Source organism: Homo sapiens, chromosome 4 (genome assembly GCF_000001405.40).
Source record: "Homo sapiens chromosome 4, GRCh38.p14 Primary Assembly".
Classification (NCBI taxonomy): domain Eukaryota; kingdom Metazoa; phylum Chordata; class Mammalia; order Primates; family Hominidae; genus Homo; species Homo sapiens.
The window spans coordinates 186,679,999-186,705,124 of record NC_000004.12 but is presented as its reverse complement, the minus strand read 5'-3'; the positions used below and the strand labels follow the sequence as shown (position 1 = coordinate 186,705,124).

The window sequence follows — 25,126 nt, the reverse complement described above, 5'->3', positions numbered from 1 at the left end:
AAAAAAAAAAAAAAAAAATGCTGGGGTGGTGGTACACCTGTAGTCCCAGCTACTTGGGAGGCTGAGGTGGGAGGATGGCTTGAGTCCAGGAGGTCGAGGCTGGAGTGAGCTGTGATTGTGCCGTTGCACTCCAGCCTGGGCAACAGAGCCAGACTATCTCAAAAAAAAAAAAAAAAAAAAAGTTATTTTGGAAGTTGTAATATATTTTTTGTGCTTCTATTAATGCAAGGAATTCTTTCTCTGTTGGTTATGTGCCACTAGCATATGGCCTATGTATTAAGTCTACAGACTATATATCACTATCTAAAATACCCATAATTAGTTTATTTCAAGAGAAACTAGCATAATCAACAGCATTTGATAATCCTCTGAAGAGTAGAATGTCTTTTTTATCATTTTATCTGTCCAGTATAAGTTAGAATTTTCAAATACTGTTTCAACATAGAAAAATACCCCAAATTTAACAACTGAAGCTGAGTCAAACTGTTTTTGTAAAATTTTTGAAGAACAGTTATTCCTACTTTTTTTCCTTCTCCAAAGTAGGTTTCAAAAGCCTATAAAGAACTGTTAAAAGTTAAAGTTGAGACAAAATGGAACCAAAACCTTAATTTAAATTCTCTTCATGACTTTGTATGAACACTGCCTTTTGGGTTTTTTCTTTCAAGTGAAGAAGAGTATTTTTATTGTTGCTTTTTAAGGAATCATTTCGAAACTAGTATTTTTCACCTACACATTTAAGAGATTGGGATATTTTTACTACCAAGAAAAAAAAAATAAGGAAACAACCAGCCAAACGAGGTGGTGTCCCAAAATAGATTTATGGTATTTTCCAGAAAGGGCAGTGCCAGACTTTTCCAGTAGTAATTTAGTGGGAGGCGGGGAGGTGTTGGGATTGTGGGCAGTGTGGTTGGTAAGTATATAAGAAACTGTGTGTAAATATTGAGATTTAAAGGTGAGAGAGAAGCTGGAAATTTGTAGGTCATTTATTCTGTGGTCCTTGCTTTACAGAGAAAGTAAGTAGTGTACAGTAGACTTACGTTTATATGCTTTTGGAAATGAACAAAAGTGATAGAATAATATTTACACATTGGACCTCGTATTCATTACAAGATACATTTTTTGGCAGAAGAATTATCAGCCCAAGTTATTTCTTCAGAGATTCCTGGCAGGACAATTGGTATCACAGTGTAGAAACTCCTTTAGGAAAAATCAGTATATTTTGTTGGCTAAAATTAGGCATGCTAATTATTCACTTGGAGTGTGTCTTAACTAATTTCTAGGGCATGAAGGAAGTGTGGAAAGATGCGTGTCAGGTGAAGAGATGGAGGGGCAGTTGAGGAACACCCGTGGGGGCTGCCAGAGACTGCACTACAGCTTGGTGTGCCTTGGCGTGCACCCGGCCCAGGCCAGGCTGGTGCTTGCTGGAACTTCGCTCCTTGCCCATTGCCCATGTCCACCAGGGTCTTCTTTGCCTAACTCGGGGGCATTTAATATTGCGCTAATTAATATGAGCCTGTGCAGGAGTGCTGTGGCTCTGGGGACCAACAACCTGTCCACGTAACTGTTTGCTTCTTGTCTTTGACTTAAAGCTACTAGTGTTGGTTGAGTATTATAACCAAATTTTTGTCATATTTTACCTATTTCAACCTAGTCAAATATGTGTATCATTTATATACTTTTCACAGAACAGAGAACCTATCCAGCAAGCTGAATGAAGTTCTATTTTAAGATCTTTCCTTTTCTTCTCTTTAAATCTGCTTAAATTGGAAACATCCTCTGAAACGTAGTTTTCTGTTTTTGTAGAAGTAGAAATTCTATGGACTACCTAAAAATCTGTCACCAAACGGACAGTCCTGTTAGCTCTGTGTTCTTAGCTCCGTGGTTTGTACATGTTCTGCAAATGGCTTTGCAGCGAGAGAAAGCGTAGTGGCAGAGTGGGGATGGCGGGCGTGGACTCTGCAGGTCTCACGGTATCATCTGCCCTTCCTGGAGAGGCCTCTGGATGTTGGTGAACTGTTCTGACAGATCCATGCCACGTGACTGCCCTTCCATGTGAGGTCTGGAAGGGGAGAGGGCCATGTGAACAATTATTTGGAAAGTCGGTCTCGTTAGAGAGCCAGTTTCCAGAGCTCTAATTAAGATTCTCCTCCTCAGATTGCTATCTGTAAGGTCTACAGTGAGGATTATAAAGTAGATTTAACAAAGATGTTTAGCGGAGTAAAGATCTTTGAAGCATGTGTAATCCCACATTCAGGGTTCGGTCTGCCTGCCATGCGTCTCAGCATCCAACCCCCTCTTCTACTTCAGATCCATTCTCTGTTGCTTTGTTGTAAGCTTCAACAGGTTTTCCTGTAATTTAAGCAGAATAAAATCTGGAGCATCCCTCTTGTGGGTGTGTGGAATAAATTTGGTGTAGTGTTCTTAGCTGATGTGTACTTAGCAAGTTAATTATTACTTGAGCACCAATGAAATGCTGCAGCTTTTTGTTCATTTTTAAAACTAAGGGAATGTCTAGAAAAATGCCTGGCCAGAAGATTTTGTAGAAATTGTGAATAGAAGTTGGTGTTGAAGCAGTGTTGGGTTGAGGTCTGTTCCCTGATGTGTGTATTGCGTACAGGACGCCCTGGAATGTGTTTGACCTTCAGTCTAGAGTAGTTTGGTTCTCTTTTTGGCTGTTAATGTTAGTATACAAAGCAGCCCAGGACGAGTGTTTCCCCTTCTGACTCTACTTATTTGGGGAGCCCGTGTTTTTCATTAAGATAAGAGCAGATCTCTAAACATATTACTGCTGTGTTACTTTTAGCATCCCAATCCTGGTTTCAGGATTGAAATTTACGTTTTGATGAAAAGACTGGGAATGAATTAATATGGAAGTACAGCCGTTGTCACAACTTAAGTCAGCATTCATGAAATACAGGAAGGGAAATGAGGACATTTTTCTTAAGAGAAAATGGCTGCATTCACACGATGGAGAGTGTTGGAGCACCATCCCTGTGTCACCTGTGTGGAGGCCGGCTCCTGGCCTCATGTCTGTGTCACCTGTGTGGAGGTCGGCTCCTGGCCTCATCCCTGTGTCACCTGTGTGGGGGTCGGCTCCTGGCCTCATGTCTGTGTCACCTGTGTGGGGGTCGGCTCCTGGCCTCATCCCTGTGTCACCTGTGTGGGGTCGGCTCCTGGCCGCCCGGCTTAGGTGCACACAGGTGAGTGCGTTTCTACAGTGGGAACGGAACGGAATTCCGGCCCAGGCTAACCTGATTGTTGACCTCAGTCAGGGAAAATGTTTCTGGAGCTTCTGTCTGGTTCTGCAGAACTCTGAATGTTTCAGCTATTTATTATTCATTCAAGTTAGAAACCCTTTTCCTCATATAAAGTAGGATATTTTACTTACATCCTGGGATCCCTGCTCCTGCTGCACGTCCTCCTGTGACAGGAGAAGGAATGTGGAGGAGGCTGACGGGCCCCGGATCCTGACTAAAGGGTCTGCAAGTGGCTGAGAGCTGGGTGGCTGCTGGAAGCCTGGCCTGCTGTGGTGGGACCTGATGCCCTGTGGGAGCTGGGGCTAGAATTCCTGGCAGCAGGAACTTGATTAGAGACGGGTGGGAGGCCCGGCAGAGAGTTAAAAAATGTGCTGGTGAAAGGGCTTTTGTGTTGCTGGCTCCTCCCTGAAGTGGCAGCAGCTGCTGTCCTCTTGGCTCTTTATGTTCTCCTCCTAGGAAAGCTTAAGAGAAAAGAAGCTCGTTTCCCAGCCACAGGGAGACTGGAAGTTGTGTCTTGGCAGAAATGATGTTACCACAGTGTGTTGTTGCTGTGTTCTGGGATAAAAATCTTGTGTGTGTGTGATTCTGAGTCAAGCAGGGCGTGGTAACAATTTCTACCAGGGGAAGGGTCCTTCTTTGAAGCAGGAAGATGTTAAGGTGAAAATAGGATCTAGTCGAAATCCTAAGGAAGTTCCATTTTCTTACTAAAAACAACAGAGATTCAGCTTTTCTTTAGTTATTTGTATGATGTTTACCACGTTGATGCGTTACTGACTGAACAAGTCTAGCCTGGAAAGGCTGTGGATGGGAACTCGGGGGACCGTGACTCAGGGCCGTCCCACGTTGTGGAGCAGCACGCAGTGACGCTTACCGTGCTGTGATGTAATTCTCAGAGTGTGCAGGGGCCGGGACCTGGAGGTGTGGGGTGGAAACAGCTTACGTCAGACAGGCCGGCTTTGTCCTCATGCTGTCAGTGGTAATGACACTGGTGGTGAGCACCAGTCTAGTAATAACCACGACACTGAGTGTCACAGCCGGGCACTGGGCCCGGCATTCTGTGTGTGCCAGTCCATTTAATTCTCACAACCACCGGGTGGACTCTGTTATCCCTACATTACAGGATGAAACGTCAATGAGAGGTTAAGTAACTTGCCCAAGACTTCTTGGGTGCTAAGTGCCAGAACCGCATTTTACTCCTCTTACTCTTTGAAGAATGATCTACGGATGCTGCGAGGGAGCCTGTTCAAAAACGACTAGTGAAGTGGGTTTCTGTGCTAAGCTGGGTTAGGCCAGGTTGCAGCCTTGAATCCTAGATTCGATGCTTGGTCCTGAAGGAGTCTTGAATGTAAGAATCTTCCAGCATTTTTACTCTGAATGACATATTGCTATCTAGCACAATTAGGAGGACAGGAGTTTGAATTCCGTCGCGGTGGCAGTCAGCAAGTCAAGATCAGGCCAGCGAAGGCGTGGGTGAATCCAGGTGAGTGCCTGTAGCTTCCCTTGTCTCATTGGCCATTGAAGAGATGGACAGGTGTCATATTTGTGTTTGCAGTTGTAAAAGTGTGATTTAATCGGTAAAAATGCTGCCCATCTGAACTGGACAGGACGTTAATTGTTGGAAGGCTTTTCTTGTGGAAACCATGTTTAAGATGGTGGTTAGGTCCCAGCTTTCAGGCCTGCACGCCAAAGCTAACGTGATTTGTACCTCCCTCTGCATCGAGTTACATGAGGCCATCGTTCTCTTGCCTTGTCCTCCTTGGTGCCTTGGCATCAGCAGCTGTCCTCTTGGCCATCTAGTACGGGGCAAGAAAGCCAGAGTAAGCTTACTCACCGTCCCCCTTGCCAGGGAACTGTTTTTTGTCCTAAGGATGTTTAAGGATTGGGTGTTCGTAATTTGTTGAGTGACCTGTGTGTGTAGAGGTTTAATGTTCACTTAATACCTGGTCTGTTCTTTCCGTATTACCTACCGTGTACAACTATGAAAATTGAAAAGATTTTAAGCTTTAGGTGTTAGTTTAAATGTTGGAGATTTTCTTACCATTTAGTTCCCATTGTTTTTACTTTTTGGATTATTTTAGTTCGTAGGGCTGGATTTGTCACGTTTTTATTTATTAGTGTGTGTTTTGTGTACTGTTATTTTGCAGTTGCCTTTCTGGCATTTTTTTTTTTTTTTCAAACAGCAGACCATGCTGCTTATAAATAGTGCATGCTCCATACAAGACATAGTGCCACAAAGCGCAATCTTTTCTGTCTTTGTTACTAGGAATAAATGGACTTGGAAAGATTGCCGTTCAAGGGCACATGCCTGTACTTGTTGAATTGGCAGTTCTCCAGTTTCACAGCAGTGACAGTAAGTCTAGGAAACTATTCACATATATACTTCAAGGGCCAGTCTTATCAATTAACTTGCCTTGCCAGTTCAACAGTACCATATCTCCTCGAATATCTGATACCATGTTGAACTCGGTCCATTGCTAGGCCTCCGAGTGGCTCAACCTGTTGAATGGGATTCTTTAGAATGTCTTACTCATTTCATGTTGGGGAGAGTCTACTAATACAGTCTTTTTAGTTTTAAATCAATTGGTTTTTTGTTTTTTTTTAATAAAAGTTACTCAGCTATTTATGTAGTTTCTGAAGACTGCTTTCTGGTTTGTGATAATTTAACCATATTCTTATCACAGGTAAGCTTTTTCTTCTTAATCATCATCAGCATGTAATTATAGTTAACGTTTAGTGAGTACTTGCCGTGTACAGGCCCTATTTTATGGTCTTTCCATAGACTGTCTCACTAGATTGTCACAATTAGTGAGTAAAATTACGTGGTGTTATACTCTGCTCATGGAGTTCATGTCTGTGCCAAATTATAAAAACACGACAAATGATGGAAATATGATGCACGTCGACTTAGTGCCATTGAATTTTGAAATATTCTGTTGCATTTTTTAAAGGAAAGTAGCGCGTGCCAGTTGATGTAGTTTATGGTGTGATGCGTTAGGAGGCATTCTGACAATACAGACGTGATTCTTGAGCTGAGGTGTTCATCTGTCACGGAATCCTCCTTAACCCGTTTCACTGTCTCCCATCGCACGGGGTCCAGTCTCTCCGTGGCGGAGCCGCATTGCCCTAACAGGCCTCCCTGCTCTCCCATTTAACATCACCCGTGCTTCCCTCACTGGCTCCTGTGCAGCCCTGGTCCCTCAGCCCCTGCCCTGTGCAGCCCTCTACCCCTCTGTGCCTCGCCGTTTTCTGTCTCCCTGCCTTTGGGCATACAGTGGTCAGCTCGTATTATCTCATAACTCTACTTAATAAAGCTTTCTTGACAGCCCTCTTCGTTACGTGGAGCTGTTTCTTATCTTTTATGTACTTAAACATATGACTGCAGTATCACTCTAGTGTAATTGTTTATTTACACGCGCCTTTCCTCTAGATTGTCAGCTCTTTGTGGGCGCACGTAAGTCTTTGAATGCTTGGTGTATATAACAGGCACTCAATGCATAATGGTTAGGCTGGCCTGGTAAGCCATCGTGGGGTCTCCGGGGAAACCTTTCCTTCAAGCCAGGTAGCCTTTGCTTCTCTTCGCTGCGGGGGCACTTCCTGTGTGTTCCTCTGTTGTAGTGTATGACTCAGTGCGCGGCCTGTCTGTGACTTCAGTCCGTCTCCATGAACTCAAGGACACAGTCCAGCGTAATCATCTGTCTACCCTCTTCTAAGCACAGTGGCTGATAGAGCAGTAAGTAGCCCTCATTTGTTTTGTGAGCAAATAGATTGTAACACACAGTAATTGCAGTTGTGAAGGTTGAGCGAAGCTTCTTTTCTGCCACCCTGGACGCCTATTTGTAGGCTCCAAAACTGTGGTTCTTGATGGTTTTGGCGTCACAGAAACTTTGAGAATCTGTGGAAAGCTGTATATTCTTTCTTCAGAGAGACAGTGATTTGATTCAATACCAAGGGGCTCAGTGAAGTGCCGAACCTGTGTTCATGCACTGACCGTCTTCTTGGAATCCTGGTTTTGAGATCCTCTGTTCTGGAGGTTCCAGGGTTGTCAGTCCTCACAAATTCTCATAAAGGAGGACCAGCGGGTAAGGATAATGGTGATGATGATGATGGCAGTGATGACAGTGACAGTGACAAGCATTTTTATAATGCCTTACAACCTGCAAGTATTTCTACATACATTATATGGTGCTTAATGTAATAGAGAAATAAAACCTGTATAAAAATTATAAATGAGCTAGATAAACCTTAACAATGGACAGGTCACTTTTCTATATATTTGTACATGTGCCTGAAATGATTTAGGAGAAACCGTCATTCAAGGCTGTTTCCAAGTGAAATAAGAACCTGTAGTTCTTTATACACCTGTTTCATCAGATGTTCTGTCTCCCCATTGAGGCATACGGCACAAATAAAACAGATATAATGAACAGTGTGCATCATCCCTCGGAGAGCATGGGGATCGGTTTCTGGACCGTCCGCGCACACCCACATCTGTGCGTTCTGAGGTCCCGCAGCCGGCCCTCCACAGACGCTGCGCTTTCGCGTGCTGTGAGTACTGTGTTTTTGATTTGCCTTCAGTTGAAAAGAGTTCATGTGTAAATGGGCCTGTGCAGTTCAAACTCGTGTTGTCCAAGGGTCATTGATACCTCGTTTAAGTTAAGCAGCTTTCTAGGCCAGGCTTTGGTCTTTAGTTTTGCCAGCTCACCATGGAAAACCCTTAATGCCACACCACTAGTATTCCTTTACTTATTAAGGCAATCTGTCAGGAAACTCAGGCCTCTAATGATAAAGTTAGCTCCCTTGGCAGACAGAATTAATTAATTAATTAATTAATTATTTTCTAAGACAGAGTCTTGCTTTGTTGCCAAGGCCAGAGTCGAGTTGCAGTGGCTCAATCTCTGCCTGCTGCAGCCTGCACCTCCAAGTTGAAGTGATTCTCCTGCCTCAGCCTCCCAAGTAGCTGGGATTACAGGTGTGCACCACCACACCCAGCTAATTTTTCTGTTTTTACTAGAGACGAGTTTTTGCTGTGTTGGCCAGGCTGGTCTCGAACTCCTGATCTCAAGTGATCTGCCCACCTTGGCTTCCCAAAGTGTTGGAATTACAGGCGTGAGCCACTGTGCCCAGTCCAGAATTTTTATTTAAATGGACTTGCCGTATGTTCTTTGACCTCTATGGAAAATAGCCCTGCCATAAGTTCTTAGTTAAAAGATTCTCCAAAATGCATTTGTGGGTCCTGGTTTGCTTTTAGCTTTCTATTAATTTTTTTACTTGCCTCTTTATTCTTAGGGCTGCTTGACATTACTCTGTCTCAGACGTCCGTGTTCCTCTTATCACAGTGCTTGGCACAGGGCTGGTACCGAGTAGCTGCCTGCTCAGGGGGTGTTCATCTTTTCATAGATCCTGTGCATGTTTGTCCCATGATCCTCTTCTTTCGATTTGTTGCCCAGCTGAAGGTGTTTACATATTTAAGTGAAAAAAGGCGGGTTTGTCATGTAAATACCAAGTTAGTCTGTTGGTTGAGGCAACAAAATGGAAATCAGTTATTTTTTAAGGATCTAAAAAATTTTAAAAGGAAGTGCTTTTTCTTAATAGTGTGGCAAGCTCATTTAGAAGATGGAAACTGATTAGGAAAGTATGAACATGAGTAATATCCATATGTGGTTTTAATTGGCAGAATGTTGATTTCAGAAAGAAGTCACACGAAGTTTCATATCTACAAAGTATCAAGATTAGAGTTTAAGGTCAGTAATTTTTAAAATAAGTGTTCTAGGGCCTATGGCCGGGCGCTGTGGCTCCCGCCTGTAATCCCAACACTTTGGGAGGTGAAGGCGGGCGGATCATCTGAGGTCAGGAGTTCAAGATCAGCCTGGCCAACATGGTGAAACCCTGTCTCTACTAAAAATACAAAATTAGCTGGGCCTAGTGGCGCACACCTGTAGTCTCAGCTGCTCCAGAGGCTGAGGCAGGAGAATTGCTTGAATCTGGGAGCTGGAGGTTGCAGTGAGTCGAGATTGTGCCACTGCCCTTCAGCCTGGGGGACAAGAGTGAAACTCCGTCTCAAAAATGTGTGTGTGTGTGTGTGTGTGTGTGTGTGTGTGTGTGTGTGTTTTATATATAATACATATTAAAAATTATTTTAGCATGTTTAAAAAATCTGCTTTTGTCATTTGACTTCCACCAGAATATAAGGCTGAAACTGGACTCTGTCCGTGTCTGTATCACTTACTTAGGAACTGACTGGCATCTAGGCATCCAGCCAATACTGGTTGAATGCGTAAAATTTAAAATGGAAATAGATTGTAACAAAATACTAAAGGGAAACGCTTATCTAAATAACTATTGTTGAGAAAGCCCTTTTAAATTTGTCCTTTTTAATATAGTTAAGGCTGCTCTTCCACTTGAGACACCCTGTCTCCCATACCTTCCAAAATTACAAGAATAAGAACAACAAAGCAGTTTAGTAGCAATGCGGGTTCCTCTTTGTTTCTGCTTTGCTTACCTAGGAGCAGCCTCCTTTGTGAGATTGAGTATCTAGATTCTGAGGCTGGCCTTCCAGGTGAATATACCTGAGTTACGTGTTGTGTCCTTGGGCTGTAGAGTAGTGCTATTGCCTGTATCATCCTCTGGATTGAAAAGTATTTCTTTTGTTTTAAGTATAAAAGATGAGTATCCATTGCCATTGCACATTATTCAGCAAAAACTTGAACTCTAAAAAACGTTCAGATTAGTAGGATCTATTTTTGTTAGTATCATTATTGATGAATTTCTTAAAACTTAAGAAAATAGTTACTTCTAGAGATTCACAGATTATTTTTGAAACTGTTGGTTTTCTGGATTAAATTGAGCTCACCCAACTATCCTTTGAAAAAGCTGTTTTGTATTTTTGTTTTGTTTTGTTTTTGTTTTGAGATGGAGTCTCGCTCTGTTGCCCAGGCTGGAGTGCAGTGGCACGATCTTGGCTCCCTGCAACCTCTGCCTCCTGGGTTCAAGCGATTCTTCTGCTTCAGCCTCCCAAGTAGCTGGGATTACAGGCACCCGCCATCATGCCTGGCTAATTTTTGTATTTTTTGTAGAGACGGGGTTTCACCATGTTGGCTAGCTGATCATGAACTCCTGACCTCAGGTGATCTGCCTTCCTCAGCCTCCTGAAATGCTGGGATTACTGGTGTGAACCACTGTACCCAGCCTGTTTTGTATTTTAAGTGTCTTGGTTACTTCTGTGGAGAGGTGCAATTTACTTAAAACCAAACACTTTCTTTTAAAGGGTGGTTGAATAATGGGGGGAAATTTAGTTAGTTACCAGACTCTTTTAAGAAAAATAATATGTATGTAAACTAAAAGTAGTTTTCTTATTTTAGTAACTACATCTAAGTAAAAGTTTTTTAAAAACTCATTTGTTCTTTGTCAACTCTTCTTGCTACTTAGGAACTCTGATTCTAAACCTTCCACTCATATAAATAGAAAATTATCAGTAGCTAGTTCAGTTAACTTCATTATTCTATTTAAAAGTAACTCTTTAGGATGATTAAAGGAAGGAAAGGAAACCGTTGTGGAAGTTGTTCACTGTGTATTTGAGTAGAAATCTGTTCATAGCAAGTTGCATTTGAGAGAGGTTGAGCGTTATGAGAAATGGGGAGATGGTGGTTAGGTTAGGTGAGAGGCAGGTTGAGTTTGGGAGATGTTGAGTTTCGTTAGAAATAGGAAGATGGTGGTTGGATTAGTAGATGAGAGGCAGGTTGAGTCTGGGAGAGGTTGAGTGTTGTGAGAAATAGGAAGATGGTGGATGGGTTAGATGAGAGGCAGGTCGAGCTTGTGAGATGTTGAGTTTTGTGAGAAATAGGAAGATGGTGGTTGGATTAGTAGATGAGAGGCAGGTTGAGTTTGGGAGAGGTTGAGTGTTGTGAAGAGTGGGGAGATGGTGGTTGGGTTAGATGAGAGGCAGGTTGAGTCTGGGAGAGGTTGAATCTTGTGAGGAATGTGGAGATGGCTGTTAGGTTAGATGAAATACATGAGAAACTCAAGTGGAATAAGTGTAGGCAAATCCAGAGCTGAACTGAAACGTTTTATTGTCTTTGGGCCAATATTAAGTATTGTGAAGGAAATTACAGAGAATGGCATTTAGCCTTTTGTTGGGAAACAAACCATCCCAAAACCTCATAGCTTAGAACAGCCTCCACTCATTTGGGTCACCGTTCTGTGGGTGGGCGATTTGGGCTGGGCTCAGCTGGGTGTTTCCTTGGCTGTTTTCCACGGGCTGACTCATGTTTGATCAGTTGCTGTTGAGCTCGAGGGCCCTGCTCCCAGGAGGTGGCTGGGTGTTCGCTGCAGGCAGCAGCTCCTAGGCCCTGTGTCTGTGATCATCCCGCAGCCTGTCCTGGACCCGTTTACATGGTGGTCTCGGGGTTCTGGGTGCTCGAGGAAAGCAGCAAATCCGCTGGGCCAAGGCTCAGAACTCCTCCACTGTCATCTCCCACGTGCTGTGACACAGTTCGTTCATCCAGCCACAGGTAGGGAGGTAGGCTAACCTTGCTGAGAGGAGCTGCCGAGTACTGTGTTCATGTTCCTACTTCCAGAGGCACTTTTACCCGATTGCGTTTCCCTTTGAGGGAATCCCTTCTGAATGTTAAATGTGCATTACTATATAAAGGCTTGTGAAAATTGTGAAAATATCAATATGGTCTTAAAACTTTTCTGTCTTACATAACGATACTTTAAGTTTGTCATACTGTTCAAACATGTAATGGCATTACAGTATATCTTCAAGTTATTTTTAGCACATTTCCATTTAAACTAGAACGTAAGCAGAGATACCAGGGGGATGCTTGAAGTCTGAAGATACCAAAGCAATGCTCCTCCATCGTCTTCCTACTTCATTTTCTATCACAAAGATCTCTGAAGTTTCTTACCCCCAAAGGAATTGGAGAATTCCAGTTATCGTGTTTCTAAAGTGAAAGGCGGAGAGATGGAGTGTCTGGTAAAGGGCAGCAAGGGGTTCTTCACGATAGACTTTGGCCTGCAGATGTTCGTTTTTCTCATTAGCACCACTTCCTGCTAATTAATTTGTCACAAACTATCTCATTGATTTATTGCTGTCCCGTAGAGAATGGAATACTTGGGGAAATGGAATTGGAAGTCCATGGAAGACTGGGGGGCGTGGAAATAGACACCGAAATGAGGAGAGAATATAGGAGTGTTGATTTGGTATCTTTAGGTTTCATGCAGCCCTCTGACATCTCTGCTTAAGTTTCAGCTTAAATGGAAAAGTTTTAAAAATAACCTAAGATTCCCAGCACTTTGGGAGGCCGAGGCGGGCGGATCACGAGGTCAGGAGATCGAGACCATCCTGGCTAACACGGTGAAACCCCGTCTCTACTAAAAATACAAAAAATTAGCCGGGCGTGGTGGCGGGCGCCTGTAGTCCCAGCTACTCGGGAGGCTGAGGCAGGAGAATGGCGTGAACCCGGGAGGCGGAGCTTGCAGTGAACCGAGATTGCGCCACTGCACTCCAGCCTGGGCGACAGAGCGAGACTCCGTCTCAAAAAAATAAATAAATAAATAAATAACCTAAGATGTATTTTAATACCACTTAGTATTTTGCTAATTTTAGCTTATATTAGAGTTGTTTGTTACGGGACGTATGTGCAACAGTTAATAGGAAAGTGCTCTGTGGTAAGTTGAAATAGAAATCTTAGGATTTGAAATAGAAACGTGTAACTGTATTGACTCACTAAGCATTTTGACATTATTTCTGTTTGGAAATTTTGGGAGTGGATGTCTTTGAACACATTGACATATACATGGGGGGGAAGAAAAACAAACTTGTGGCCTTCTTTAACAGAGATTTTTAGAGAAGTAGTAAGTCCCAGCTGCCATTCTTCTCCTCAAAGAGATTAGAAAAAGAACCACATAAAAATAATCATTATTATAGGTAAAAAAAAATAGTAGCCACAGTAAAGCATACATGTTTATTGTTTACTGCTTGTAGAAAGGTTCAGTGATCATTAAATGTCAGAACGAATCGTCTTGTTTCTGTTTTTTTTAATATTTTATTTTGTTTTTATTTAGAGATGGGATCTCACTTTCTCAGACTGGAGTACAGTGGCACAATCAGGGCTTACTGCAGCCTTGAACTCCGGGGCTCAAGCAATCCTCCCACCACAGCCTCCTGAGTAGCTGGGACTACAGGCATATGCCACCATGCCCGGCTAATTTTTTTTACTTTTTTTGCAGAGGTGGGGTCTTGCTATGTTGCCCAGGCTGGTCTCGAACTCCTCAGCTCAAGTGATCCATCCTACTACCTTGGCCTCCCAAAGCGCTGACATTACAGATGTGAGCCAACATGCCTGTCACGCCTGGCTCAGTGGCCTTGTTTCTAACAAAAAATTTTCTCATGAAATGAAATGAAGATTCTGTAACAAGTTAGTTGACAAACTTTGTTAGAAACCTAATGTAGAGATGGTGACTTAAAATGTGATATTCTCATAAACAGTAAGTCTTGGATATAGTATATAGAAGATCATGTTAGCGAAGAGAATAAAAGTCTTAAATTGTTTCTTTTGGTGTTAGAGATGAATCTGCACTAGAGGCACCTAATCAGCACGGTGTACTCTGTATAAGCTAAAACAAAACACAACAGTGATTCATGTCCCAGAGTAGACCATGAAACCACTTATTAGAAATATTCCAAAGTTTACTGTTTTTAGATACAGGTGCTCATATGTGAAAGGTGAACTGATTTTTACAATTTATATTAACAAAATTGTGCAAATTCTGCCACTTTTTACCGTTACTCGTTATTTTTTAAATCAAATGAATTAGTATAACAGGTCAAAAGCAGCACTGCCCAATAGTACTGTCTTTATTTGTAATTTTATATATTTTAGTAGCCACAATAAAAAAGAATATAACAGATGAAATTTTAATAATATATTTTATTTAGTCCAACATATCAAAAAGTACAATTACAGCATGTGATTAGCGTAAGTATTAATGAGACCTTTAACATTCATTTTTTCCTATGAAGTCTTTAAATCAGTGTATATTCCACCCTTACAGCAAATTTCAGTTTCGACTAGCCCCATTTCAAATGCAAGTTTAGAGACTTATGTAGAGTTCAACTGCCTTAAAGATATTTGTGACTTTAAATTTGGATAGTGGGCTACTAGATTTTTTTTTTTTGAGGCAGAGTCTCACTCTGTCGCCCAGGCTGGAGTGCAGTAGCGTGATCTCTGCTCACTGCAACTCCTGGGTTCAAGTGATTCTCCTACCTCAGTCTCCCAAGTAGCTGGGATTACAGGTGTGAGCCACCACACCTAGCTAAATTTTTGTATTTTTATTAGAGACGGAGTTTTACCATGTTGGTTAGGCTGGTCACCAACTCTGGACCTCAGATGATCTGCCTGCCTCGGCCTCCAGGTGCTGGGATTACAGACGTGAGCCACCGTGCAGGCTATTAGATTTTCTTCTGTGAATGACGTACACGAAATAAGTGACCTAGAGCTACGTCTCTGATCATTCACTTTGGTTATAATTTTTTTGCAAATTACCTATGCTGGAATCTTTTGGGGTTGGTGGGAATGGTTTTGTTTCTGATTGTTTTTACTTCCTCAACTGTCCTAAGATTACCAGCATTCTAATGAATAGTAAACTTGAGATAACGGCTTCATGCCTAACAAGTATAATTTATCTCTGTAGTCTCAAGTGTTTGCTCTTCTTTTTAAAATGTTTCTTTTTAGAGAAATACAGCTTTGAATTCTACTACACTTTTCTGTAACGCAATGCAGTAACATGTTTTTTGTTTATTTGTAGCTATCCTATAGGGATAGGGAAAATGTAATTGAATAGTAACTGAGGAAGGGGCTACTAAAACCTGAGAAAAAATGATAGGAAAGTTACTCTTTCCCTTCATTTGGGTGATGGGAAAAAGTAGGTATGAGATCTTCTAATGGGCTTGTGAGTGCGGTAGTCTTTTTAAAGAGTCACATGGTGTGTTAATTTTCCTCTGGATATTAAGAGATCACCACCAACAAAGCAAGGCTTGATCGCCCAGGTGAGGTGGTGTGCGGAGTCGAGTCGTGTGGCGGGTGTGCATGCCCTTGTGGGAAAGGAAGTGGAAGAGTTAAGTAGTTCTGCCTGTTGAATTAGCCTGGTGTGGGTGGGTGCCAGATACCCTGGGCTAAGGACATTCAATGAGGATGTTAAAAGCCTATTACACTGGTGTTGCTGAAAATTTATTTGTTGAAGAGGCTGGTGGCCTAGATCCTGGCATGGCTTTAAAAATATTACAGTGAAGCAATTCTTGTGATGTTAAGCGAGTGTGTGAGCTCATTTTGGAGTCTTTTGACTTGGACTCTCTCTCGCTTTGGTTAATGAGTGTGGAAAAACAGCCCAGAAGTTAATTTAAAATCAGACTTTGTTTTCAATTAAAAATTGTCCATGATGGGTCATTGGATGTGAATGCAAAAAGAAAAAAAATGTCCAGTGATAGCTTTTGTAAAATTCCGAGTAAATCATGTGTCTTTTTGAGGATAAACATTTGTTATTGAAGTTCCCTCATTTAAATAGCTTTTTGGGGGGCATAATTTGGATTTGTAGCATAATTCTAATTTGATTTGACGTACAAGATACAAATCTTCTTTATGTGAAAGTATATGACATCTTAAAGTGATATTTTTACAGAGTGATTTTCCAAAAGATTTATTTAGACCAGGTCCATCATTTCCAAGTGAAGTGAAATCTTTATTCATTAACTGTAAAGTTTCTGTGGGCTTCCACAATTGCTAACATGTATAATTAATTCAAAACCCATGCTTTTCACACTTCTTTTTGAAAAGTAGTTGCTTTCTGTAAACTTGACCTTTCTGTTGTTTCAATGGCCTGTTTATTCTTTTCAGAGTTAAAAAGGTCATTTTCAGGTTTATGGAATTTTCCATGTAAATTTTGGGATCTGCATGCTGGGGTGATTTTCTGCTTTATATTTATTGCGGTACTTTTTGTGTCCTTGGGTTTAAACGAATACAGGTTATGAAAACCTACCCTGCCACATTGTGGCTGCTGCCTTTGTATCTCACAGATACACCTGTTTCATTTGGGCTTCATCAGTTTCACGTCAAGAGTTGTGACTGAAGCTTAAGTAAATATGTTTATTTTGTGCCGGCTGCTGGCTGGAAAGTCTACTGTAGCAGCTGAAGGGTGTGTGTTTTTTTGGGGGGGGGCGGGGGGGGTACTCTTGCTGGGTGAACCATCATTGTGACAGGTAAATGGAATTCGTCAATAAAGCTTGAATTGCGTCCCCCTTCATTTCTTCCGAGCTGTTGAATGTAGGGATTGTCTTGCTTGGAACCCTATTGATTAGGTCACAGCCTGGTCTGCAGAAAACAGAGCTGCCCAGGGGCCATCTCACTGCAGGGGATTTGCCGAAGCCCCTGTGAAAGGACCACATGGGGTCCGCGATTACCTTATGAACAGGAATCAGTTCAGGGAGCAGATACATATTAAGGACCTATTAACTTCTACAGGCTTCTCTTTGACTTGAGAAGCACTGGAGAGTGAAGATTCCTTCACACATAATGAAAGGAAATTATTGCCAAAGCCACCGAAGGTGCATCTTGCCATATCTCTGTGGGTGCCTCTGTTGAGTTGCAAATTTATTTCCTGCTGGGGCATCTGCTTAGCTTTAGAAGTCCCATTTAAGGTCATGAAAAGGGAATTTGGAAATGATTACATAGTGTTGGCTTTTTTTTTTTTTTTTTTTCAGCTTTGAGTCTCCATAGCATTTGGACAGAATTAGCGAACTCCCCTCATTAAAAAAATGATCTTTATTTCCAATAAAAAGGCAGTATATAGTCATTGTAGAAGCCTGGGAAAATGTAAACTACTGGAAAGGAGAAAACATGACTAAAATTTTACTACCTAGAACCCTGGTGAACTTTTCCCCTAACTCATATGTACCTGCACAAAGATGCCTTTCCAGTGCCAGGTGCGGGATTTGTAAAAATGATGAACAGAAAACATTTACTGAACGTGTAGTTTTGTTGACTGCCTTCTGCTATATCCAGAACATTTTCTGGTTGGTAGGTATTCTTAAAGAATGTGATTTTTAGAATATAGAGTGCCAGCACAGAGACAGACTAATAGAAGTTGAGCATCTTTATCTGAAATACTTGGGACTAGAAGTGTTTTGGATTTATTTGGATTTTGAGATATACGCATTATACCAGTTGACATCCCACATCCAGAAATCTGAAATCCACAATGCCCAGCGCACCATGTTGGTGCTCCAAAGTTTCAGATTTTGCAGCATTTCAGATTTTTTGATTTGGGACACTCATCCTGTTTGTATAGTAATACTCAATTTTTGAATATGTAAGTTCCTTGTTTGTGTGTATCTCTGTTGCCTTAGCGTAAATAACAGGAAGTGAAATTGCTGGGTGAAAGGTAATGAAATTTTTAAAAGCTGTTCTTTTTTTTTGTTTGTTTGTTTTTATGAGAACTAGACATCCCATCAGCAGTTTGTGAGTGCCCATTTCTCTGCATTCTTGCTGCCACTGAATATTTGGATTTAGAAACAGAAATCAAAATGATGGCAGATTTATGAGTGGAAAATACTAATTCAGTCAGGGAACTATCATAATTGAAACAGTGGTTGTTAGTTTTGTGGCTGTGGTTCTGGTTGTGTGTTTAAAAATTCTGATTTTTATAACCCAACTTTTTGGGATCATATTCTCTGATTTAACTTACCTTTTCTCGATCTTTGTCCCCAGTGCATATTGAGGCTTATTTCTTCACATTAATTAATTGTTTAAAAAGCGTCTCTTGTATGCCAGATAAAGGCTAATGAGGGATGGACAGACTGTAAAACATGCTTTCACTCTTCATTTCATTGGCCAGATGCTACTTCGTAAAATCAGAAGTAGTTGAATTTTTCGTTTTCGCTGCTATCAGGCTTGTCAAATTAAATTTAAAAATGTAATTTTGCTGTTGAAATCAAGAATATAAGTTCTCTTTTCCTTCCCAAGTATCCCTATGAGTTAATTCACTCACCTGTGTCCATAGTGTATAATCAGCAGTGTAGTGATTGGATCCAAACAGATAGACTGTTTCATGGGATCATCTGAGAACACATTATCAAGGATGTGATACTAGGCAATAAGCAGTTCCTTGGCAGCTATTAATTCATGTTAAGAACTTGGAAAAGAGTATGAGGCGGATAAAAGGCACAGGGTTCTGTTCACAATGCAGTTGGGAAAAGAACAGCTTAAAAAAAACAGCGCTAAGCAAACCAGTTTAAAGTTGCTGACTTTAGGCAATAGATTCAATAATTAAATATTAAAATGAGATTTGTATTGAGGCAGAGGGTTGCATTTCAACAGAGCAGGCCCAGATGTTGAGATTACTATATTGATTTAATTATGCCAAGATGCTTTCATTGAGCCCTTGGAAAAAAGAACACTCATTCAAAAATTGACACATATTTTATTCTTCATTAGCTTAGTGTTGCATACTTACATAATTCTGGTATCTCATAAAAACTGCAATATAGAGTCTGATTTACCAATAAAATGATGAATGTGGAGGAAGAATGCAGGAAAAAAATCGCTACATGTTTTCTTCAGAATGTCGGGGGGGGGTGAAAATTCTCAAATAATTATGGTGCACAAACTTTCTGCCTTCCTGCACCATGGGGAACTCTTCTAAAGGCAGCAGTACCAAATGAATGCATCTTTAATCATCTGGAAGTAAGAAATCCATTATTTTTCTAAACCAGACAGTAGTTGTCTGTTTTAATGGAACAGTTGGTTGATTACAGCTCTTCAGGCCTTTATTTGCTGACTGCCCATAGATATTTGAGTTCCAGCTTCCAGGATTGTCATAAGTGAGTCAGAGTCCAAGAATTTAGAGTAGGAATCTGAGGTTGATGAATTTACTTTGGTGTAGAGAGTTTAACTGAGGGAAGTAGATTTCCTTATACAGATTCTCACAACCGGTGTGCTTACAGCTTGCTGGCTGCTTAGAGACGGACTCATCTACAAATGCAACCTACCAGATAGAGCAAAGCTCAGGACCTGCCAGTATTCTCTTTTTTAGTAGAGAGAGCAATGCTCACCTCAGTTGAAGGGAATACGAGTCTCTTACAGATGTCTTGACTGTCTTTTACAGTAACCAAATGTATGTTGGTTTTATAGAAATCAGAGTTATGTTTTAATTGTAGAATACCATATGTAGAAAGCATTATGCAGGTTGAAAATAACCACTGGTTAAGTGCTTTGAAAAGTTAAAGGAACCTCTGAGATGCAGTCAAAGGAAAAGTTAACCAGAGTCAAAAAATACTGACTGCGTAATCCTTACCTAAGGAATATAATCAGAAACACTAAAGCAACCCCAGGCCACATATGCTGGTTAGAAACTCTGCTGTGAATTTTAGAAAATCTTAGTGAAGATGTTTCATTTGAGATAGGAATTTTTAACCTTCATATATTTTATGGTGTTACTGAAAAATAGAGGGGTTTGGCTAAGTTGCTCTTATTGTGGTGGTGGTTTAACGTTCTCTACGGTTCCGTATCCTATCAGCTATTGGACATTTTATTTAAGGATATAGAAATGTTTCGTTACAGCTTATTCATTCATGAAATGTAAGACTTATTCTTCCTTTCCCTGTGAGAAGAGCCTTTGCCTTTCTGGAATGCTTTGTTTGATCTCAGTGTAATGCCCTTGGAGTGCCCTTCCTGTCATGAAAGAAAGGTGAGGTGAATCAAAGTAACGCCAGATAAGGCAGGAATGTGCGCTCCTGGTTACTCCTGTGTCACTCTGGCTTTGAGACTGTGGCTGTATACTTTACCTTTCTTGCCCAAGGGATTAGCGAGGGCACTGGCTGACTTTCTTCCCTTTAGATAATGTTTCATGCACAAATCAGACTTGCCTGCTTCCTTCCTGAATTCATGACTTGGTTGTGGCATAAAAGGAGTTGCCGAAATAAGAAGAGATGAGCATTTCCAGTTAGTCAAAACTAAACAGAGTAGCAAATGAAAACCACGCCTCCTCTGTTTAATATGTTACGCCCTATCCAGAGGTGACCGTTTTTGTTTAAATTTGTTAAATTAAAACAATTGTTACCCTGTTTGTATTACGTGTCTGAAAGTGTTTCACTGTGCTGCGTTAATACTGGTGGGGTAAAGGGAGTTTGGGTTTTTTTTTTTTTCCCTCTTATCCCCCAAGTTAGTGATTAACATCCAGTCATTCACTTGTGAGAGGAATGTTAGTTGCTTTAGAAAATACATGGTAATTATTTAAAGTGTCCTAAAGAAATGTGGTAGCTGTTTCATTCTGTTGAAAACGGGCCGAGCGTCAGTTCCATTTTCTGTGCATGGCAGTGTTCGGGCGGAGGCAGGTGCATCCCGGGGAGGAGCACAGTTCATGGTCCTACGTCTCCTACGAGAGCCGACAGGAAATCTGCAAGAGTACCTTCAGCCCCTCGCAGATACTGTCCTGGCCCTTCTAAAGCATCCCCTTCCCAGGGTCCAGCACGGAAGCACTCCTATAACTGTGCAGTGAGACCTTCATCTGGGATTGGATATAGTTATAATTGGAGAGGAGATTCAGTCTAGATGAGACGATTAAACAACAAGAGAATGTAGTTTAATATTGTCAAATACCCATAGTTCATAATGACCTGAGTTGGCAGTTAAGACTCCTATGTAATGAAGAATTTCTTACAGATTTAATACATTCTTAAATACAGTAAACAAGAAAAATCCTGGCTTATTTTATTCAGTAGGTAAGCATATGTTTATAGTTCTATTTAAACTGTTAATTTACTTATTCAATTATTTGGATAAGTGAATTATGTAATGCCTGTGTGTTGGCTCGGTGGATTTAATGAAGTAGCAATCTTACTGTTTTGTAGCTATTGAAAAACAGCTGAAAAACTCAGTTTTGTTAACTATTACATGCAATGTTTTGTGATTAAAAAAAAATTCCCTCTGAATCTTTTTGGAAGGATCACTGAGGGAATTTAACCACTTTTACATTTTTCATAGGGATCTCTGATACCCAAAAGGATTAATAATAACTCCAGAGGGAGCAGAATGAAGCTCTCCATTCTGGTGATCCTTGATGGGTCCATGACCACAGGGAGAAGTCGTGTATTGGACTAGTCTAGAACCCTAGGAGGAGGTTGTGGGGAAATGAGAGTGGGAGGGAGAAGAGTGGCAAGTGTGCCTGCTCCAGGGGCCGCAGGTCAGCAGCTGCAAGTCCTGCTGTAGGTCCTGGAAGGAAAAAGGCTTTGGAGAAATCACGAGTGGCCTTTGAAAGCAAAACTTTCGGAAAATTTCACAGAGGCAAGATTTGAGAGGGTGAAAGAAGGCTTGGGTGAATGCCCTTCCATGCATTCATTCATCTGGTAGTTGACGTTTATTGACCGCCTCTAGAATGCCAGAACCTGCTCTAGGTGCCCAGGACTCCACAGTTTGCAAGGTAGACGGTGCTGTGCCCTTCTTGGAGCCCAGGACTCCACAGTTTGCAAGGTGGATGGTGCTGTGCCCTTCTTGGAGCTATTCTTCTGGAGAGAGGAGACACGAGTCAACACAGAGATGAGGAGAAAAGAACGCACAGTTTCAGCTGAGCGGTGCTGTGGAGGAAAACAGGGCATGTGTTAAGGATTTTTGCAGGGTGTGCATGGCCTCCTTAGATGGAGTGGTCACCTGAATGACAAGAACGAAGAGCCAACTATTTGAAGACAATTTTTAATCAGAGGGAATAATAGCCCTGAAACACAAGCTTGTATGGTGGAAGGTCTGGGATGAGGTAGTTAAGGTAGGTGCGTGGCCAGGACATGAGGCTGTGGTCTGTGGCTGAAGGGAATGGTAGGAATACCAGGGCAGTCAGTCCAGGGCCCCTTACACGGGAGTGACCCTGCCTTACCACAGGAGAGGACTCCGTTTTGTGGCACACACTCTTCCTTTTTCCTGCTGCTGACTGTCCTGCTGTCCTGGAGTCCCATCGCTAGGTTTTATCCCAGTCCAGGCTTTCTGCCTGGTTCCCCCTTGGGGCCCTCAGTGGTGTTTGTAGTCACTGATGACATGGAGAAAAGAAGGAAAATCCTCCTCTGATCTGCCGGGCTGCCTCTTTAAGTGGCCATGTCCTGCCAGACCCAGTGTCCTCTTTGCTAACAGACTTTCTTTTGGATGTAAACCCTTGAAATAAGATTGCTGTTTTAACTACTTTAAAAACAAATCATTAAAAGTTGTTTTCTTTCAGAAGCATGTTTTTAGTTCAAAAAGTCTGTCTTCATGCATACGCATCATGTTAGAAACATTTACAACTTTCTTTTTTTTTTTTTTTTTTGAGACAGAGTCTCGCTCTTTCACTCAGGCTGGAGTGCGGTGGTGTGATCTTAGCTCACTGCAACCTCCACCTCCCGAGTTCAAGGAATCCTCCTGCCTCAGCCTCCCGAGTAGCTGGGATTACAGGCACATGCCAGCACACCTGGCTAATTTTTGTATTTTTAGTAGAGATGGGGTTTCCCCATGTTGACCAGGCTGTTCTCGAACTCCTGACCTCAGGTGATCCACCCGCCTTAGTCTCCCAAAGTGCTAGGATTACAGGCGTGAGCCACCGCGCCCGGCTAACATTTACAACTTTTAGCAATTCAGAAGATAAGTAATAATATTTTGAAAGAAATCTTAGGAGGTGCCTGATTCCTAGTCCTGAATCTGGGTGGCAACCTAGGTTTTCTTCCCAGCTGTTAGATAAGGAGATCATCCAACGTCCCTTATCGCCTCCATATGACAACTAATAATTTTATATATTTGGTGACTAAACACGAACTATTATGCTTTACTTTTATTTTGGTAATCATGATATCTTCTAGCAATGACTTCTTTTGAACTTGGTTAGTCTTTACTTATAGATCCGTAACCAGTTCTGAGAAAGTAGTTGTGACAAAATGTAACGAAAATAAGTGGGGAAAGATAGTTATGGAGGCAAAGGTGGACTAATGTTCCTTTCTGTGTCCCAGAAATTCCTAATTTGACTTTTCCTGGTTTTTATTGTCCTTTCATGTTTGAAATGAAACTTTGAAACGTTTTATAAAAGTAGCTCTTCATTTGGGGCTGGAGGGAAAGTTTGTGGCAGACCTCACTGCCACTTCAGCGGTATTGATGCATACTGTTTCAGGTTAAAAATGCTTTACGCTGTCAGTTGAAATAACTCATCGATGTGTCTCAGTGAACAACGTTGCTGTGGATTCTGACTTTCTTCTGTGCTGCACGTATGTGTGTATTTCACTTTAGAGCACTGCTAATGCCGGTCCCTTGTCTTGATAAGGAATGTCACCTGGGCTCTACAATAAGTGATTCTAAGTTCTCTTCCGAACACCGCTTCCATCATCGTGTGATTTCTGTTAGTAGCCAGTTTCTGTCTTGAATAATAGCATCCTTGGAAATACAGAGGTTAGGGATTAAGGTGTCATACCTCTTTAAGAATCTTCTTAAATCTTGGTTTTGCTTTAGTTTCTCAAACATCAAAATAGATTCAATAGATTAAATACCTTTATTTTTATAGTAATTCTTATAACCCATATATCTCCCACTTTTAAATAAGAGGAATAATAAATATTGATATAAATAGTAAATATAGAGAGGTATAATAAATTGCCAAAGTCACACATTTATTAAAATGCTGAGTTGGGACAGTTAACAGGCATGCTGTAAGGATGGTTGATTATAAGGCCAATACTTTGAAGTAACAGACTGAGAATAAAACCTACATTCACTCTTGTTTCCCTCTCCAATTCCGAAATAATTCGGTGATACTCTTGACCAGTGATTGAGATGTGTGCCTAGGTCAAAGTCACTGATACCATGTTAAGGTAAGGCCGATTATTTTTTAAGCTTTCTTAGGGTTTGGTTGGCAGATCATTAACTCTGAGATAGTATCATTGACTTTTGCTTTTCCTAATGTGAGCCATTTCCCTCACCAATCAGAAAAGCCGATTTCAGTCTTATGAGATTTGTGTTAATGCAAGCGTGCACCTCTCTACTAGGTGCCACTCTCGAACGTAGACTGAGATTTCAAGAGATTTGGGTTCCAGTTATGGCTTTGATTCAAGCTCTGCAACCTAGTAACTTGTGAAGTCATTTATTCCCTGGACTTCCTTGTCTGTAAAATTAGAGGGTTGCACTAGATGATCTTTACTGCTCTCTTTTAACTCTTGTTCTTTGCTGATTCGTTGGTTTGATTATTTAAGATAACCAAACACCATGCTTTAGAACTTACGGTGGTCTTGGAGCTTTATGAGGTAGTGTTCATGTAAGAGGTCGGCTGCCCACCACATGTGCCTTTGTAAAGGTATTTGGGAGTGTTTTTCTTCCCTTCCAGAGGGGCAGGGGAGGAGTGGTGCCTGAAGAGAGAAATGTTACAGAAACGGTCGTGTGTAATTAAAGCCTATTCAGTGTTTTCACAGTGGTGTCACCAACAATGATAAACTCAGTCATAGTCAGATTTCATGTTTGTGTTATATGCTATATTACTGGAATTTGTTAGTTTTATCTTATTGAAGAACATAATAGGATGGCTTAGCCTTTGCTTCTCAACACTGGTACCCCTTTGCGTGTCTCTTTTGAACAGATTGTGTTAGTCTGTTGAGTTGTATTTCTTTTTTAAGGACAATAATTAAAGCCAGGGATATGCCAGCATTATTTCAAAATAGGCTTATCAAGGGAGCATCTGTCAAATGTCTTCAGTATTAGGTTAAATTAATCGAGGCTTTAAATTTGCAGTCGTGTTGGGATATTTGGGATATTTCCCTGTTCCAATTAGGTAATGAAAGCATTGGAAGACACTCATGGTCTTCTATTAATGGGTACAGTTAG

General features: G+C 41.3%; 1 protein-coding gene across 4 annotated transcripts in view, besides 2 other annotated features; it reads left to right on the top strand.

Annotated features, from left to right (window-relative positions):
- FAT1 (FAT atypical cadherin 1) overlaps positions 1 to 25,126 on the top strand; it is a 138,903-nt gene that overhangs the window by 21,572 nt on the left and 92,205 nt on the right. The gene's annotated exons all lie outside the window — the stretch shown is intronic.
- Positions 14,943 to 15,442: an enhancer, noted in NCBI's record as "H3K27ac hESC enhancer chr4:187610837-187611336 (GRCh37/hg19 assembly coordinates)". NCBI's record gives its function as "activates a minimal SCP1, AML or CMV promoter by ChIP-STARR-seq in naive H9 embryonic stem cells {active_cell/tissue: H9 hESC(naive)}" and the evidence as "EXISTENCE:reporter gene assay evidence [ECO:0000049][PMID:30033119]".
- Positions 16,674 to 17,294: an enhancer, noted in NCBI's record as "OCT4-NANOG-H3K27ac hESC enhancer chr4:187608985-187609605 (GRCh37/hg19 assembly coordinates)". NCBI's record gives its function as "activates a minimal SCP1, AML or CMV promoter by ChIP-STARR-seq in naive and primed H9 embryonic stem cells {active_cell/tissue: H9 hESC(naive and primed)}" and the evidence as "EXISTENCE:reporter gene assay evidence [ECO:0000049][PMID:30033119]".